Source organism: Homo sapiens, chromosome 10 (genome assembly GCF_000001405.40).
Source record: "Homo sapiens chromosome 10, GRCh38.p14 Primary Assembly".
In the NCBI taxonomy this organism is placed as follows: domain Eukaryota; kingdom Metazoa; phylum Chordata; class Mammalia; order Primates; family Hominidae; genus Homo; species Homo sapiens.
This window is the reverse complement of record NC_000010.11, coordinates 123,774,374-123,791,421: the sequence shown is the minus strand read 5'-3', so window position 1 is coordinate 123,791,421 and position 17,048 is coordinate 123,774,374. Positions and strand designations below refer to the sequence as shown.

General features: G+C 47.0%; 1 protein-coding gene and 1 long non-coding RNA gene across 8 annotated transcripts in view, besides 1 other annotated feature; one reads left to right on the top strand and one right to left on the bottom strand.

Annotated features, from left to right (window-relative positions):
* Positions 1-17,048, top strand: part of CPXM2 (carboxypeptidase X, M14 family member 2) — a 198,466-nt gene that overhangs the window by 152,683 nt on the left and 28,735 nt on the right. For 6 of the 7 annotated variants that reach the window (XM_017015673.2, NM_198148.3, XM_011539285.3 and 3 more), the window contains one exon: positions 11,167-11,255. In XM_017015673.2, coding sequence (XP_016871162.1) covers positions 11,167-11,255 — 89 coding nt within the window. Of the gene's footprint in view, positions 1-11,166; positions 11,256-14,719; positions 14,799-17,048 lie in introns of those variants that run through there. The other variant, XM_017015674.2, reaches the window with a different exon arrangement.
* Positions 8,746-9,493: an enhancer, noted in NCBI's record as "NANOG-H3K27ac-H3K4me1 hESC enhancer chr10:125541445-125542192 (GRCh37/hg19 assembly coordinates)". NCBI's record gives its function as "activates a minimal SCP1, AML or CMV promoter by ChIP-STARR-seq in naive H9 embryonic stem cells {active_cell/tissue: H9 hESC(naive)}" and the evidence as "EXISTENCE:reporter gene assay evidence [ECO:0000049][PMID:30033119]".
* Positions 13,572-14,664, bottom strand: CPXM2-AS1 (CPXM2 antisense RNA 1). Its single transcript, XR_946423.3, has 2 exons — positions 14,309-14,664; positions 13,572-14,034 (listed from the first exon to the last, which is right to left on the bottom strand). It is a non-coding gene; the product is annotated as a CPXM2 antisense RNA 1 (long non-coding RNA).

Genomic DNA, 17,048 nt, shown 5'->3' with positions numbered 1-17,048 from the left:
ACCATGAGAGAGTCCATTTCTGCTGTTCCCAGGCTGGAGTGCAGTGGAGCGATCTTGGCTCACTGCAGCCCCCGCCTCCCGGATTCAAGCGATTCTCCTGCCTCAGCCTTCCTGAGTAGCTGGGATTACAGGCATGTGCCACCACACCCAGCTAATTTTGTAGTTTTTGTAGTAGAGATGGGGTTTCTCCATGTTGGTCAGGCTGGTCTCGAACCCCCGACCTCAGATGATCTGCCCGCCTCAGCCTCCCAAAGTGCTGGGATTACAGGTGTGAGCCACCGTGCCATTTCTGCTGTTTTAAGCCACCTGGAGTGTGGTGTGCTTTGTTATGGCAGTCCCAGGAAACCGATACTCAGACTCAAAGATGGCACACACTCGTGACTGTCCTCACCCCTGATGATGTGGCTTTAACTTACTGTCTCCCACCGTACCTTCCATTCTCTCTTCTGTCATGGTAATAGGGTAATAATGATAGCATCGCAGCTTCAGGTGGGCCCCAGTTAGAGACCTCATGTGCCCTAGAAAGTGCATCTTCTTCATAACTGGCCTTTCCCAAATAACTTGATTAGAATGTCCACCCATCCATTCATTCATTTACTCATTCACTCATTCATATATCAAATACGTATGGGGTGCCTGTTCTGAGGCAGACTCTTGGGAATCTGAGATAAGATAGACACACTTGCTGCCCCCGTCTCTCTTGGCACGATGGGGGAGACCTGCCTGTACCTGTGAGACGCCTTTATTCCTGGTGAATCCTTCTCAGCTGAGGTGGGATTGGCCCTGGTTGGCTGCAGCCTGTCCTCCTAGCAGCAGAAGGCAGCTTCCCCTTACTGTTAAATATAGTGAACTCCAAATTTCTCTTCAAAGAATCAGTATGTCAGTATGTTCAGCTCTCTTATTCCTTGTTCTCCATTTTAAAGTTTAACTTCCTGGTTCTCTTTGCTCCCTCGCCCCTAGTTTCGGTAAACAACCTTTTCCACGAGTTCTAATCCGTAGTTCACATCTGTTCCCCTGGTCACCTGCTCCGTCTTCAGTCACTCCTAGTCACCTGCTCCATCCTGAGTCACCCCTGGTCACCTGCTCTGTCTTCAGTCACTCCTAGTCACCTGCTCCATCCTGAGTCACCCCTGGTCACCTGCTCCGTCTTCAGTCACTCCTAGTCACCTGCTCCATCCTGAGTCACCCCTGGTCACCTGCTCTGACCTGAATTATCCTGAGTCACCTGTTCTGTAACCACCTTTCCCGCCACTCCGGCTCGCACCCCTGCTCTCTATTTATTTTTTATTTATTAATTTTTTTTAAGATGGAGTCTTGCTCTGTCCACCCAGGTTGGAGTGCAGTGGTGCGATCTTGGCTCACTGCAAGCTCCGCCTCCTGGGTTCACACCATTCTCCTGTCTCAGCCTCCTGAGTAGCTGGGGCTACAGGTGCTCACCACAGCACCTGGCTAATTTTTTGTAATTTTAGTAGAGACGGGGTTTCACCGTGTTAGCCAGGATGGTCTCGATCTCCTGACCTCGTGATCCGCCTGCCTCGGCCTCCCAAAGTGCTGGGATTACAGGTGTGAGCCACCGCACCCGGCCACCCCTGCTCTCTTTAAAATAGCCAATCGGAATTAGCTTAGACTGTGTGGTCCAACCCTAGCCAATAGGGGAACGACGCAGCAGTAGGGGCTACTGCATCAGGAATAAGAACCCCTTCCCCTCCCTTGTTCAGGTGTGCTCTCACCGTTGCTCCATCTGCACATTGCACCCTTCTATAGAAGGAAAATTGCCTTGCTGGGAAAATTCTTTGAGTGCTGGTTCTTCTTTTAAGCACCAAGGAACAAGCATTTGTTTCTAACATTACCAAGTTTAAATAAATGTGAGATTTCTCTTCGTGGTCCAGCTGCCCAATGTTGATGATCTTGGGAAACTGTTAAAACAGCCACACTCTTGAAAGCTGTCTTTCCTGACAGCTTCCCTGCCAGTCAAGCTGCAAATTGGCCCTGGGCTGTTGGCACAGCAGCATCTGCCAAGGAACCAGAGGGTTTCCTGGACTTCTGCTCCCACAGTGGAGAAGTCGTGAGATGGGGACATAGGAAATGGGATGGAAGTGAGTGAATAAGCACAGAGGTTGTGCTGCCCCCTCTGAGGGGCCCTGTGGGGCGGCAGGTTTGATGTTCTTGCTGACAGTGATGACCCAGGATCAGGTGAGGCTGTGCCTGGGGGTCCGCAGCTCCTGGGTCTCTCGTGGCCTTGCTCTATAGGAATTACCTTGTCATCAGAGCAGTCAATGGGGTCTGGACAAAGGTGACTGCCTCAGACAGCCAGCTCTTTGTGGGAGGGGTTTCGTGCTCAGCTCACACCATCTTTGTTCAGGGGTCTGCTGAGCATGTTGGGGTTTGGGGAGGTCACAAGGCCACAATGGCAGCTGCTCCTTGGGTGGGAGGCTGGCATTGTGCCAGGTAAAGAAAAATCTCTTGTGACCAAGCACCTCTGGTGTCCTCAGTCCTCGGAGAGCACTTTGGGGCCAGGGATCCTTTCTTTTTTTTTTTTTTTTCAATCAAGGTGAAATTCATATAATATACACTAAGCCTTTTAAAGTGTACGCTTTGGCGATAGTTAGTGCATTCATAATGCTGTGCAAGCCCCAGCTCTCTCTAGTTTCAAAACTTTGTCATCACCCCTAAAACCTCCCTGAACCTGACAGTGAAGAGCAGGTTCCCTGCTCTCACCGCATGCAGAGTCCAATTAACAAGAGTGAGGTCTGGTATAAAGAAAGTGGTTTATTCTGAAGCCAGCTTAGGGGAAGAGGCGTCTTGTCTTTAAATGTGCTGCTTCGCTTTTGGAGCAGAAAGCGGGCACTTTTAAAAGGCAAGGGCGGGAACAAGCAAGGGTGAAGGGTTCATGCTAGCTCTGATGCCTTCCCTACTGGTTGATTGGGCTGGTGACTGCTGGCACCTTCGTGGGCAGGCAACCTCCTGGAGGGGGGAAGTTTCGTATCGGGCTTGCTTTGGTTTGTAAATCCACTTGTAACTCTCCAGACCTGTTTTGGAGCAGATAGTTAAAAGAACTTGCCCTGTAGGGAGAGGCTGGTGAAGGGGGAGGTAAAAGGCTGTATTTGCATTCCTTTTTCTTTTCTTTTTTTTTTTTTTTTTTGAGATGGGGTCTTGCTCTGTCGCCCAGGCTGGAGTGCAGTGGCATGATCTCGGCTCACTGCAACTTCTGCCTCTGGGGTTCAAGTGATTCTCCTGCCTCAGCCTCTGAGTAGCTAGGATTACAGGTATGTGCCATCACTCCCAGCTAATTTTTGTATTTTTAGTAGAGACCGGGATTTCACCATGTTGGCCAGGCTGGTCTTGAACTCCTTACCTCAGGTGATCCACCCGCCTCAGCCTCCCAGAGTGCTAGGATTACAGGCATGAGCCACCGCTCTCAGCCTGTATTTGCATTTCTAAAGGGCTAAGTAGGAAGTGGGGAACTGGGGGGATAAGAAAAGAAGAGAGAGAAAAAATAATTAAACCATCTCTTAGAAAAATGGGGGCTACAAACCCGGAGTAATCACTCCCCAGCCCCTCCGCCATCCCCGGGTAACTTGGAATCTGCTGTCCCTATGGGTCTGCCGGTCTGGATAGAGCATTCACAGGCATCCTGAGCCCGGGCTTCTGGGTTGCAGGTGAGCCACCTTCCCAAAAAAGGAACCTCTTTTCCCCAGCCAAGCACCTACTCATTTCAGTCAAGGTCCCAACCAGAAGGCAGCAAACAGCAAGCAGAGCAGCCCAAAATCTTGGTCCCTTTGAAGTCCCAGTAATGGGACTTGATCTGGGATTCTTACTGTTCTTTTAAGAATAGTCCCATGTACAAATCACCTGAGGTCAGGAGTTTGAGACCAGCCTGGCCAACATGGCGAAACCCCGTCTCTACTAAAAATACAAAAATTAGCCGGGCGTGGTGGTGGGTGCCTGTAATCCCAGTTACTCAGGAGGTTGCAGTGAGCTACACTCCAGGCTGGGTGACAAGAGCAAAACTTCATCTCAAAGAAAAAAAAAAGTCTCATGTAGTGAGCAGGCACTTGGTTTGGGGCTCAGGAGTCCTGAGCTGTGGCTGGTGTGGGTGCTGGTACCAGCAAGAGTGAGGGTGAGATGGGTTCTGATGCTGCCAAGCCCACCTGGGGCTTCCTTCCACCTTTCCTAGATCTTCTCTTCCAATTGTGTCCCTTTTCCATCTCTGTCTGCACTGTCATCTTGTCCCCAGCATAGCTCACAGCCCAGCTGCATGGGGAACTGGCTGTAGCCACCTGGGAGCCACCTTGGAGCCTCCTACCACTGACACTCCAGCCTTAGCCAACCTCCTCTGAGGGATTGTGGCCTGAGTCCCAAATCACCACGGTTTTTGGGCCAGCTGGAGGGTGTGCCTGGGAGAAACACAAGTCACAGAAGCATCTGTGGCTGTTTTTTTCAAAGAGGTTCTCAGGAGGTTTAGTATTTATACATTTTCCTTACAAGAAGGGGGGCAGGTTGGCACTGAGGCAAATGATGACATCCTTGGGAGACTTTAGTGCCCAGTGAATCTACATTTGACATAAGATAGGTGAACATTTGAAGAAAAAGGGAATAGAGGAGGCGACGTCTCAGGGAGAGGTGAAGGATCTTGTCTTTTTTTGGTGCTTGGGAAGATAAGCTGTGCCTGGAAGGATCTTGTCTTTTGAAAGGGCTGGTTTCTGTTTAGCCCATAGGGTAGAAAGCCAAATGACTGGCAGTAAGGAATGGGGTATAATGAGATGTGTCCCGTCTCCATCCGTTGTGGTGGTGGACTCAGCTTCCAAATTTCTCTGGGATTCTCTTGGCCAAGAGGTGTTCCATTCCATCAGTTGGGGGCTTAGAATTTTATTTTTATTTCTCACTTCTAAACAACCTGTGGATGTGCATAGGGTCCTGGGAATGTCCAATTGTTTGCCGTCAGGTATGGGGTCAGTGTCTGCTTGAACTGCCTGATGCCACAGAGCTTAGGCCTCGTGTTTCAGGGAAGGCAGCTGGAAGCAGGGCCTCTGTCTCTCATTCTCTCTCTCACATATGCTTCCCAAAACAGAGGATGAAGAGGAACGCAGCCTTTGCCACCCGTCCGTCTCTGTCTACAGAAGCGTGTGCTCCTTCCACGAGCCTTGAGTGAGCCTCTCATGGTTGGGGTCATTGTATCTTTCATGCTTATTTCCCCAGCATCTCACACAGTGCTGGGCATGTAGCAGTGTTCAGTGAACAATAGGATGAAGTCAGTAAAAGCTTTTTGCTTCAAGATTAAAGCTACATCTGCATAAATCAGTGGGCATTGGCCAAATGTAGGTCATATCTAGCCCAAGATGGGATCATGAGATTGCTTTCTCATATACTGTGGTCATTACGACAGCAAAACAACAAGCTGATCAATTAATAATTAAATTTTTAACTAGAAGACATCTGCAGGCATGCATCTGCCTAGTCAGAGCTGTGATCCTTAAGAAGCTAAAGTGGGCTGGGCGCGGTGGCTTACACCTGTAATCCCAGCACTTTGGGAGGCTGAGGCGGGCAGATCACAAGGTCAGGAGATCGAGAACATCCTGGCTAACACTGTGAAACCCTGTCTCTACTAAAAATACAAAAAATTTAGCCAGGCGTGGTGGCGAGTGCCTGTAGTCCCAGCTACTCGGGAGGCTGAGACAGGAGAATGGCGTGAACCCGGGAGGCGGAGCTTGCAGTGAGCCGAGATCGCGCCTCTGTACTCCAGCCTGGGCAATGAGCAAGACTGCGTCTCAAAAAAAAAAAAAAAAAGAAGCTAAAGTGATTTAAGCCACATGATTAAGTTGTCACAGGAAAGGAGATACCAAGCCAAAGTTGCTTGAGCTAGTTGGAGAGGGTGACCAACCATCCCAGGCTGCCAGGGACTGAGGGGTTCCAACGACACGACACTTTCTGTTTAAAACCAGGACAGTCCTGGGAAAATCTGGGACAAGTTGGTTGCTTTGTTGTTAGGCCACATGTCAGAGTCCCAAGTGATACAGGTTGGGGAAGCAACAGATAAAATAGAGTGTGTTCAGAGGAGGAAACCGGGGCAGTGAGAGCCATGGAAATCATCATAAGGGCGGTGCAGGGAATAGGGATATTTAGGCAGGAACAGAGACAACTCAGGGGAAAATAGGCTACATTTCTTCCAAACCTGTAGGATCGTTATGTTACTGATGGAGGGTGTCCAGGTTCTTGGCATCTTCAATAAAGAATTGGACAAAATGCACAAACAAAGCAAGGAAAGAATGAAGCAACAAAAGCAGAGATGTATTGAAAATCAAAATGAAAGTATGCACCGCAGGGTGGGGGTGGGCCTGAGCATAGGGGCTCAAGAGCCTCATTACAGAATTTTCTAGAGGTTTCCACTGGTCACTTCGTGTACGCCCTATGTAAATGAAGAGGATGAAGTAAAATTACAAAGTCCTTTACTTGGTATATGCCCTCTGTGAATGGAAAGGATATTTCCTGTCATAGCTGAAGTGTTTCCATTTGATTTAGTTCTAGGAAGTCAGTATGAATCGGCCTTATGTTTCCTTCTTCCAGACCCTATTCTTCTGCCTCAATCGTACGTGAACGGGAGAAGGCTTAGTCATCATAGCTGAAGAGGAAAGAATTAAGATCAGCAGGTAGACTTCAGCTTGATAAAGGAGGACCTTCCTAGCAATCAGGGCTGAAAATAGCACCAGAGGCTGCTTCGTGAGGGAGTGAGCTCTTAAGTCTCCAGAGGGCTCCCAAGAATTTACATCAGGGATACCTGGGAATAGATTATTGAAAGGAGATGAAGGGTAGTCCAGGTGATTGAAGGATTTATTTTTATGACCATGTCTGAGGAGTAAGAAATGACTGAGATGAGGGTGACCAGAAGGCCCTATGGGGCAGCGGCCATCTGTTCTGGTCTCTGAGGAGTCAAAAGAAAACCACAGGAGGACTCAGGGGTGAGGAGGCAGAGATGTTTAGGGCAGGTGGTAGCTTCCTAGGGCTGGTATAACCAGGTGCCCCAAACTGGTGGCTTAGAGTAACTTATCCTGCCACAGTTCTGGAGGCCAGAAGCCGAGAGCAAGGTGTCAACAGGGCTGGTTTCTTCTGGGGCTGTCAGGGAGAATTTGTTCCAGGTCTCTCTCAGAGCTGCCAGTGGTACGATGTCAGCCTTTGACATCCCTTGGCTTGTAAATGCATCACCCTAGCCTCTGCCTTCACTCACCTGGTGTTCCCCCTGTGTGTGTCCATATTCAAATCTCCCTATCAGATGAGGACTCACTTAATGACTTCACTTGAACTCAAAAGCCTTCATAAGAACTCCATCTCCAAGCAAGGTCACACTCTCAAGCACTGGGGGTGAGGACTCCAACATAGCTTTTCTTTGGTGGGAGAGCACAATTCAGACCATAACAGGGCAGGATTAGTAGACCAATTTGGACAGAGCAGAATGCTTGAGTAGTTTAATAAGGAAGTAAGGTTGGAAAGAGCATTTCAGGCGCTACTTCTGGAGTTTGTCGATCCACATAACTAAGGTGTTGCAGAGGAATCAGCTAGTTTTCCATATACAGGAGGTATAGAAGTAACCACAGGAAGGGATCAAAGCTCCCTCTGTAAGGATAAAGCCCCCATAGACTGGATCAGCCTGAATTCCTGTTTCAAAGGTCAGAAGTCCTACTCAAATTAGGTTAAGAAAAATGTAAAGAAATTAGGGCTCACATAAGCGAAAATTCCAGGGGCAGGTCTGACTTTGGCTTTAGGCAAGAATAGATCTGACATTTCAGGGCCTTTGTGTGGAGGTCAGGGCTCCCTCTGTCACTAACTTGCAGACTGGCAGGTTGGCCACACACACCTCCCACTCACATCCTACCCTCCAAGGGCTCCAGCAGAAGAGACTGTGCTCCTGCAAGCTCTGTGAGAAAAGTCATCTGATCGGCCTGGCTTGGATCCTGGGAGATCATCTCTGAGCCAGTGCCTAGCTGAAGGAAGGAAGTGTGTTCCTGAGTCACATGCTTACACTTGCATATCTGAAGCACCTGGAATAGATTCCCCACATGAGTGTTACCGGAAAGGGGTCCCAATCCAGACCCCAGGAGAGGGTTCCTGGACCTCGTGCAAGAAAGAATTCAAGATGAATCCATAGAGTAAATTGAAAGCAAGTTTATTAAGAAAGTAAAGGAAGAAAGAATGGCTACTTCACAGGCAGAACAGCGGCATGGGCCACTCAGCTGCTTCTATTTCTTGTTACTTCTTGATTACATGCTAAATAAGGAGTGGGTTATTAATGAGTTTTCTGGGAAAGAGGTGGGCAATTCCCGGAACTGAGGGTCCCTCCATTTTTAGACCATATAAGGTAACTTCCTGATCTTGCCATAGCATCTGTAAACTGTCTTGGAGCTGGTGGGAGTGTCTTTAGCATGCTAATGCATTATAATTAGTGTATAATGAGCACTGAGGACTACCAGAGGTCACTCTTGTCACCATCTTGGTTTTGATGGGTTTTCCCGACTTCTTTACTGCAACCGGTTTTATATAAGCAAGGTCTTTATGACCTGTACCTTGTGCCAGACTCCTATCTCATCCTGTGACTTAGAATGCCTAACTTACTGGGAATGCAGCCCAGCAGGTCTCAGCCTCATTTTCCGCAGCTCCTATTCAAGATGGAGTCACTCTGGTTCAAACAACTCTGACAGGAGGAAGGGCTTCTCTTGTCCACAGAAGGAAGCAGGGGATAGCAGGCTTAGATGACTAACCGGCTCTGTCTGTGGACTCTGGGCTCGGTCCTCACTCATTTCTTACCTAAGTGCTGGGCTCCTAATAGGGAGGGTCTCAATAAAACTTTGTCTAATCAGAATAAATGGACAAGTAAGGGAGTATTTGTTCAAAATGTGGGTGACTGAAAGTTGTGAAGTTCTGAGACAGTTCTGGAAAAGGTACCCATACCTTTCAGAAGCCCTATTAGCCTTGAGGAAGGAAGAATGTTGCCAAACATAGAGCTCTTTTGTACTTAGGGCTCTCAGTTTTTCTTCAATCCTTTTTGAGAACCTTGAAGGCATAATTTGTGTTCCAAAACAAAAGGGGCTTTAAAGTCCTTTGAAAAGACGCCCCCGAGGTTTAGGGCGTGTTGAATAGCTCTTAGAAAATAGCCTGCGAGTAAGTTAGGTGTAAATGAATGCAAAATACATGTTTTGCCTTTGCTTTGAAACTGGCAGGTTTGGAAATCAAAGGGAAGGCAGCTTGCCTGAGGTGTGGTCAGCCTCCACTCCTAAAAGGAAAGGGCTTGAGAAATCACTGAGGCATCTGGCTAAGCCGGAATGACTTTGCTTTCTTGTGTGGACAAAATGCCAGTTGCACTCCTACATTATTTCCCTTCGCATAACAGTTATTTGTTTGTAATTGCATGACTGGAAAGCCGTTTGTGAATATTAAAAGCTGTGTTTTCAGTGCTTGGGTCGATATGTGATTATTAACTTGTTGCAAGTGGGCTGTTCTCAAGGGTGAAGCCAGTCTTTAAGTGAACCTCGATCAGTTCGGGTATGGCACTTGTGACCTGTGGCTGTGGGGATGCAGGCACAGGGCTGGCTCAGTTGATGGCAGATGTGTGTAACATGTGTGAGTGTTCTCAAACTGTGAATGTCTGCAGAGCCAGCTGGGATCCTGTTGCAATGTGGTTTCTAATTCAGTAGATCGGGGCTGGGTATAGCGAACAGGCAATGCTACTGGTCTGTGGACCACAGTTGGTGGCACAGATCTGGCCTCGCTGCTCCACATAACACAGAGTGTTCGGCCCCCTACTGCCCCCACTGCCTCTAGAGTGGCCCTAGGAGCCACTGGGTTAAACAGACAGCTGCATGGTTCTCACATTGCTCACATGGTTCCTAGGGCTGCGGGTTCTCTGCATTGGAGGGAGCGCTGAACACTGAGCAGAAAATGCACCACATTTCCAGTGGCGTCTTCCTGACAGAGATGCCACCAGGCTGGCTGGGGGACCTCGAGGCAGATGGAGTGGTCTCTTCCCAGTTGCCCTCCTTCTTGTTCTTGCTCCTCCCTGTCCTCTCCTCTCTGCCCTGTGTTCTTGGGTTTTGTAACTATATAAACCATACAGGCTTATAGGAATGCAGAGAGGGAGTCAATTTATATGGAAGGGAATCAAGTGAAGAGCAGACATTGCCTCCCTGACCCCCCGAATCCCAGTCCCCAAAGGTCAGCTCTGTTAACACATTCTGATTATACCCGCCAGGGTGCTTCAGCTCCCACAGCAGAAACCCCAGCTCCCACTGGCTTAGCTGCAAAGGGGGTTCTTTATCTTGTCCAAGATTGGGCTCTGGGGTTGGTTGATTCAGTTGTTCTTAGTGTTACTGGAGTTCTCTGACTTCTGCTCTGGGTCATCCACATCACGGAAGTCATCCTGAGGCTAGTTCTTCTTGAGGTCAGATGGCCACAGTAGCAAGTGGGCAACATGCTTCTGTATTCTTACTGCTGGGGAGAGATTGTTACTCAATCCTCCTCTGTGTCAGTCAAGTCTTTCCCTTCAATCTGGATCAATTACAGTGGCCAGTAGATGCTGTGTTCTGATTGTCCAGTCATGTTGGAGCCCTGGAGCTGGGGACTTGAGATCTTCCTAGAAGTGGAAAAAGGGATTCCCAAACATAGGACTTTTTTAGGAAGGAAGGAAGGAAGGAAGGAAGGGGAATGAATGCTGGGTAAAAGGCTTATAGGGTCCACATCCTTCCAGAAGTCTCCAAGTATGTGTGTGTAGTCACGATATTCACTCATTTATTTATGCAGTGTTGACAGCTTGCCAGGTGCATAGATTTGTCCCATTTATGCTAAAAATAAACCATTGAGGGAGGTACCATTCTTTTTCTTGTTTATGGGTAAAAAACCAAGTCAAACACTGTGCAAGTGACTTGCCCACTTACATACTCATACAGCATGTAAGTAGAAGAGCGGAGATTTGAACCCAGGCATTCTGGCTCCCCACTCTTAACCACTGGGTAATTTGGACTCCTAAGTTGCTTCCTGCAGGTTGGTTTTCTCATCTCTGAGCCAACGTTAGAAGCTAGAGATTGGGCTGCACTGTCCGTGCAGTCCCCATGTGTCTCTAACAGAGGTGCCATGGGAGATAGAATGATGGGAGTAAATGCAAAATCATGTTTCTGTCCCTAGATCCTAATAATTATTATCACCGCCGGAACGAGATGACCACCACTGATGACCTGGATTTTAAGCACCACAATTATAAGGAAATGCGCCAGGTAAGACCCAGATCACAAAGCCTCATGCCAGGAATTTGTCAAAAAAGCAACATATTATGTGTCCATAAGCACTTAAATTTTTTTTTCCAGAAATTGATGATTAGGGATCTGAATGATCATTTGGTTTGCTGAAGACACACTAAATGCTTGTCATTTCAAGATTCTGGGTTCAGGTGACCAGAGGAAGGCTTCCTGGCTGGCAGATTGTTGAAACACAATTTGAATCCAGGTTCTTCTCAGTTAATATTCTAGGTCTTGAGAATTATTGTGTTTTTGAGTGCTATCACTGATTTAAGGATGTTGGTCATATGCAGAGTTGAAGAAGAAAAAGGATCTAGGATGACATAGATAATAATAGTGGGAAATATTCACATAGGATCAACTTACATACATGATCACGTTCAGTCCTCCTAATAACTCTAGAAGGGTAGGGACTGTTGTTATTGTTATCTACAGATGGGAAAACAGCACTGAGAGACTATAGCACTACCCCTTATTATTCAGTTTCTCAGAGTTTCAATCTTGGTTGCATATTGGAATCACCTGGGAAAATTTGTGAAGCTACTGATAATTGAGCCCCGTCTCAGGCCAATTAAAGTAGAATCCTTAGGAGACAGGGGCCTGGGGATCCAGATTTTTAAATCCTCTTTTTGTTATTCTGCTGTCCAGCCAGGTTTCAGAACTACTGGTTAATAGCTTCATAGCTCTTAGTATTTTTAGAAAGAAAAGACAATCCCAGATGAGATTTTTCCCCAGATTTAATTATAGAAACCCAATAGTTCTGAGCTTTTGACAGCATTTGCATACCGAGTGCAGAAGGGGGAAGGGACGGTGTGTTTATTAGGACAAGCTAAAAAGGCAGTACCTACGCTAAGTGCGGTGCCTATGAAATCCTGTTCTGTGCCCACCCCCAGCATGTGCTAGAAAGCATGGGGAGGAGCTGGCAAATGAGAAATCCTTAGAGAGCTAAGAATCTGAAGAGACAGAACATGCAGAAATGTCCTTCTGAATACATTTACAGAACAAGGATTCAGCAAGGGCAAATTAACATGGCTCAAAGGGAGGGCTTGTAGGTGCTAAGGGAGGGGAGCAGCCATCCACTACAAATGTGGAAGATGTTTCTGAGGTCAGAGTAATTAAGCGGAGCTCCAATCCCATGGAATGAACAAGCCGGGTTTGTCTTGATGTGATCTAACTTGAGATACTCACACACAGCTTCCAGACACCTGTCAGCACAGACTTAGAGGTGGGATGTGCTAAGAAATCTTCTTGCTGTCTTGCTCTTCAGAAATCAAGAGAATGTGTTTGGACTTGAGGGCTGTGAATCATCCCTGCTGCTCTACATTTTGAGGGTATTTATATGGCTCTGCTTGCCATTCCATTTTATGGAGCACTGGTGTGTTAACTCCGCTTTGCTCACTGGACATCTCAGGACAGCTTCTTGAGCTCAGAAATGAGACAAATATCAACTCAGTGCAATTAATGTCAAAAGCAATAAATCCCAATGCATTTAAAATGAGTGAATTGCACAGAGACTCTAGGTAGCTGTTATCTGTAAATAGTTGTCATGCATGGAGACTTGGGGCTCTTTTCTTACAAGGAAAGCAAGCGGAGTATGCTTCATTACTCTAGGCGACTGATCACTACTGGAGCCAAGAGGGACCTTTGGATAATCAGTGCAGCCCCCTTGGGTGACACTGGGAGACCCCTGTGCGATCCCACAGCTCAGCAGTTATCAACTAGAGACTGTCCAGGAGAGCGCCCATCAATCCTGAAGAGTGTTCAAGCCAGAAATGATTTGCCATTTGGATTCCTGGCTCCTGGGAATGGGAAAGAAGTCAATATTTTGAGCAACTTCCCCATATGGAGTCTGCTAGGTTACTGTAGAAATCTTTCTCCCTCAGGAAAAACTTGTTCATTTTTCCTACTATTGAAAGAGACATTTACAACAAACAAAAAACAAATGAGAAACAGAAGCAGGAAGCAAGAAGTGAAAATAGAAAACCTTATTGCCTTGTACGAGGAAGATAATGAGGGGACTTTTTTTGCAGAGAGCACTGACTTGCAAGGCACAGTTCCAGGCAGTGGGAAGCTGCAGGTGGTTGGGGTGGAGAAGGGAGGAGGAGAGGAAGGAGAAAGTCCTGACATTGACACTATAAGGCGGAGAAAGGGAATTATTCCAAGAAAATACTGAGGACCTTCATAGCGTGTGTTGCAATTTATACTTGCTTAATTGCTGGTTTATATGTACATTGCCTGTCTCCCTCACTTGGGACAATGAGGGAAGAGACCCTGTCATTTTATCATCCATAAGTGTACACTTGATCAATCTGTGTATTTGAGGTCCTTACAGTCATGGGGGATGGGAGAGAGAAGGGAGCCATCTGCTTGGCCATGGTTTGGAAGGTTTTGGTTGCAGAGGGGGTCAGCTGTCATCCAACGTGCGTGGCTGGCACTGGCAGGCAGGGGTGGTGGGAGGGTGCTCTGAGCAGAGAGGACAGCAAGAGTGAAGGCATGGGGTCAGAGCCGACAGGTGTGTTCTGTGACAATTTGCAGGCAGCTAGGAGGAGGCTGGTCCTGAGTGCCAGGAGAGGCTGTTGTCCTGATGCAGGGGTCTGGGAGGTTCTTTAGGTGTGCAGAGCTGTCTTTCTGGAAGTTGTATGGAGGGCGGGCCTCTGTGCCTGAAGAAGGATGAGAGGAGAGGCATTCCTGAGGCAGGCTGCCCAGTGGAGGTCACCCGTTGGAGTGAGTTGGGGAGAGAGAGAGGCCTGGTGTGCTTCTGTGGAGAAAAGGAAGAAGTGATTTTGAGGACAAGGTTAATGACCTACTTTGGTTTGGGCACAGTGTTGTCAGGTCCCAAATGCCCAGGAAGTACTGGCTGATGGCCCATATGTAGACAGTGTGATATGGGTGGAAAAAAGTAACATAGGCAGACACAGGCTGGAAGGCAGCCATCTAATGACATTGATTTCCAGGGCAACTAAGGATGGCCGGGGACATCAGGCTGTGGGGACCATGGCTGACCCACCCACTTGCACCACACTCAGCCTGACCCTGTGGGGACAGGAAGCCAGGGCGGAGCAGCAAGCCTTTAGATCCAGACACACTCAACTCCATTCCTTCCCTCTTCCCTTCTTCTGGAATTTCTTTTCCATTGGGCCAGGTGCGGTGCCTGTTTCTCAGACAAATGAGGAACGATGGCAGAAGAGAACTTTCCTCTTCTCCACTCTCCTCTTTAAAAGACAAACAAACAAAACAAAACAAAAACTTGCATTCACTGGATAAACAATATTGTGTCAGCATCAAATGCAAACCAAAAGCCTAAAGACAAATCCTCCACGAACCCACTACTCTAAAAAAAAGGCAGTTTTCATTTTCTCCCCATTTCCATCCGGTGTTTGAACTTCTGTATTCACAGAATTCCTACGGTTTTGATGAGAGGATAGTTACATCTTGGCCCTGTGTTTCTCAGCGAATATTGGATCATTAGCCATTTTCCATGCTGTCTTCATAATTGTGATTGTGAGGTTGCAGAATGTTCTGGTGAGTGGATGCATCATACTTTTCTCAGCTTCTTTCCTGCTCTGGAGCATTTGGATTATCTCCCAATTCATAACTTTTAATGAATACTGACAAAGTATGAAACATGCCACAACAAGTGTCACTGCGCATAACATTTTACCATCTTTATGAAAAATTTCCTTCTGATATTTTGCCAGAAATTGAGGCTCTAGATTCTATATCCTTCAGTAGAGAGTGAAGCAGCAGAGCCTGGGATTCAGTAGACACTAGGATGCAAAGTTTATTTCCATCTCAGAGTTGGGAAAACAGAGTCTTGAAGAGACCAAGAGTCTTGCAAACCCTGGTGCTTTCTAAGATGGTATTTCTCAACATTCTTTTTCATTACTACCCACCTAGGGAGACTTTTCAGACTTCTTTTCTTTTCTTACTCATCCTCCTCCATTATATTAAATATTAAGAAATAGGATTTTGCCAGATAGGGTTGAGCTTTGGGGGACCACAAAGCATTGTAATACCTAAGACTTTTTTAGCCACAGTTTTCAGTCCCTTGGGGTGATGTCATCCCTTTTGAATGCATGTTCTAAGGCCATGGTGAAAATTCTATTCCTTACTCTGACTGAAGTCATCAAGACCCAAACATTTACCACAAAGACGCAAACTCCAAAAAAAAATCTTTGACCCCTTTCAAGAAGAAATGTATTCCTTTACAAGAATTAATTGCGTTTAAATGGGAAACTTCATTCCTGGGGATGTTCATGGTTGCCTTGCTCAGAAGAGCAGAGTGGCCACCACCCGTGTCTTTGATGGTGCTGGTAGCCACTGGAGAGATGCTTCCTGGCATTGCAGAGGGCCACCGTGCAGAGGGAATTGTAAAGAAACTTCACTGAGAAGAAGATTCTTCAAAGGCCCATGGTCTCATGTGGGAAAGATGCTTATGACACCATGGCACAGTGGCATGCACTTTGTTAACCAATACTTTGCCATCGGTGGGAAAGTGTGGCTGATATGAAAGTACAGTGACAGTGGGTAGAACATCAGGAGGTCATTCTGATGGCTCGTGGCCCAGCCATCTTCCCATGCCATGGCTAAGTGTGCATCTCAAGGGAAGGTGATGTTTTTCTTCTTCCAGTGTCAAGGCCGTGATCTCTAGTACTGACAGCACATTTCTCCCACAGCTAATTGGAAGGGGTTAGGGTAACAGTGAAGGAAGCCAGCCTGGGCTGAATGCTTGCATTCATTGCCTAGTTCGTGATGAGCCACCAGGCTTTATGTCCGTAGAGATAGTTACTGATCCCAATGTAAGACAGTGAATTGCCTGCCAGTTAGGATTTGCTAAGGTCGATGCTGTTGGCTGAGAATGACTGCATCAGCAGGGACGAGTATATGGGGTCTCAAAGGAGATGGCAAGTATGCTGTGGCCATCAGAATGGTCACAGTGTGCAGCAAATAAAACAAGCAGCAGAGATGCACTGGTTCTCATTTCTCTACTACACCTTCATGGACAGATAGGGGTAAGGGAAGAGCCCTGAAAGGCCAAAGTCCTGGCTTCTCCTGCTCCCAGCTGGGTGACGCAGGGTAAATTATTCGATGGCTTTCTGGGCCTTAGTCTCCAAGTCTGTAGAATGGGAAAAATCTCCTCTGCCTTCTCTACTTTACCTGCCAGTCATGATGATGAGACTTAGTAGAGAAATGGAACGTATTGTTCCTGTTCTTGTTAACACAATTGGTGACGTTATTACTGTGTCTTTTATTAAAACATGGTGCTATTCATATGTGGCCCCCTGCTGTCCTGGCAGTGTCTGTCTTCATGGTGATGGCTGTAGAAGCTACATGTCCTTTGCATGTTGCTTCTCCGTTTATGATGGGTTTCTGTTGTAGCATTCTTGGGAATAAGAGTCCTTGTAGCCAGCTTTCTCTCACCTAAATATTGTGACACAAAGTGAGTTATCATAAGGGGAAGCCTGTTTTAACCCCTGGAGCAGTAAGAGAGTTAGGCCCTGAATTCCCAGTCAAGGCTGCACCTGTCACCTCTCATAGGCATGTCATAAAAGCCAGGCTATAGTAAATCTTCCCACTCCTTTAGAAACGCTCCTTGATGCTCATTAAACCACTCTTCCCAGTCATTACAGAATGTTGTGTTATGAAAGGCATATGAAGCACACAGCCATATAACTCCAACGTATCATAAATTTTACATAATACCAATTTTCCAGTTCTAATAGATTTCAACCCACCATAAAATTTGCAACAGATTTGTTTATCTACACTTTA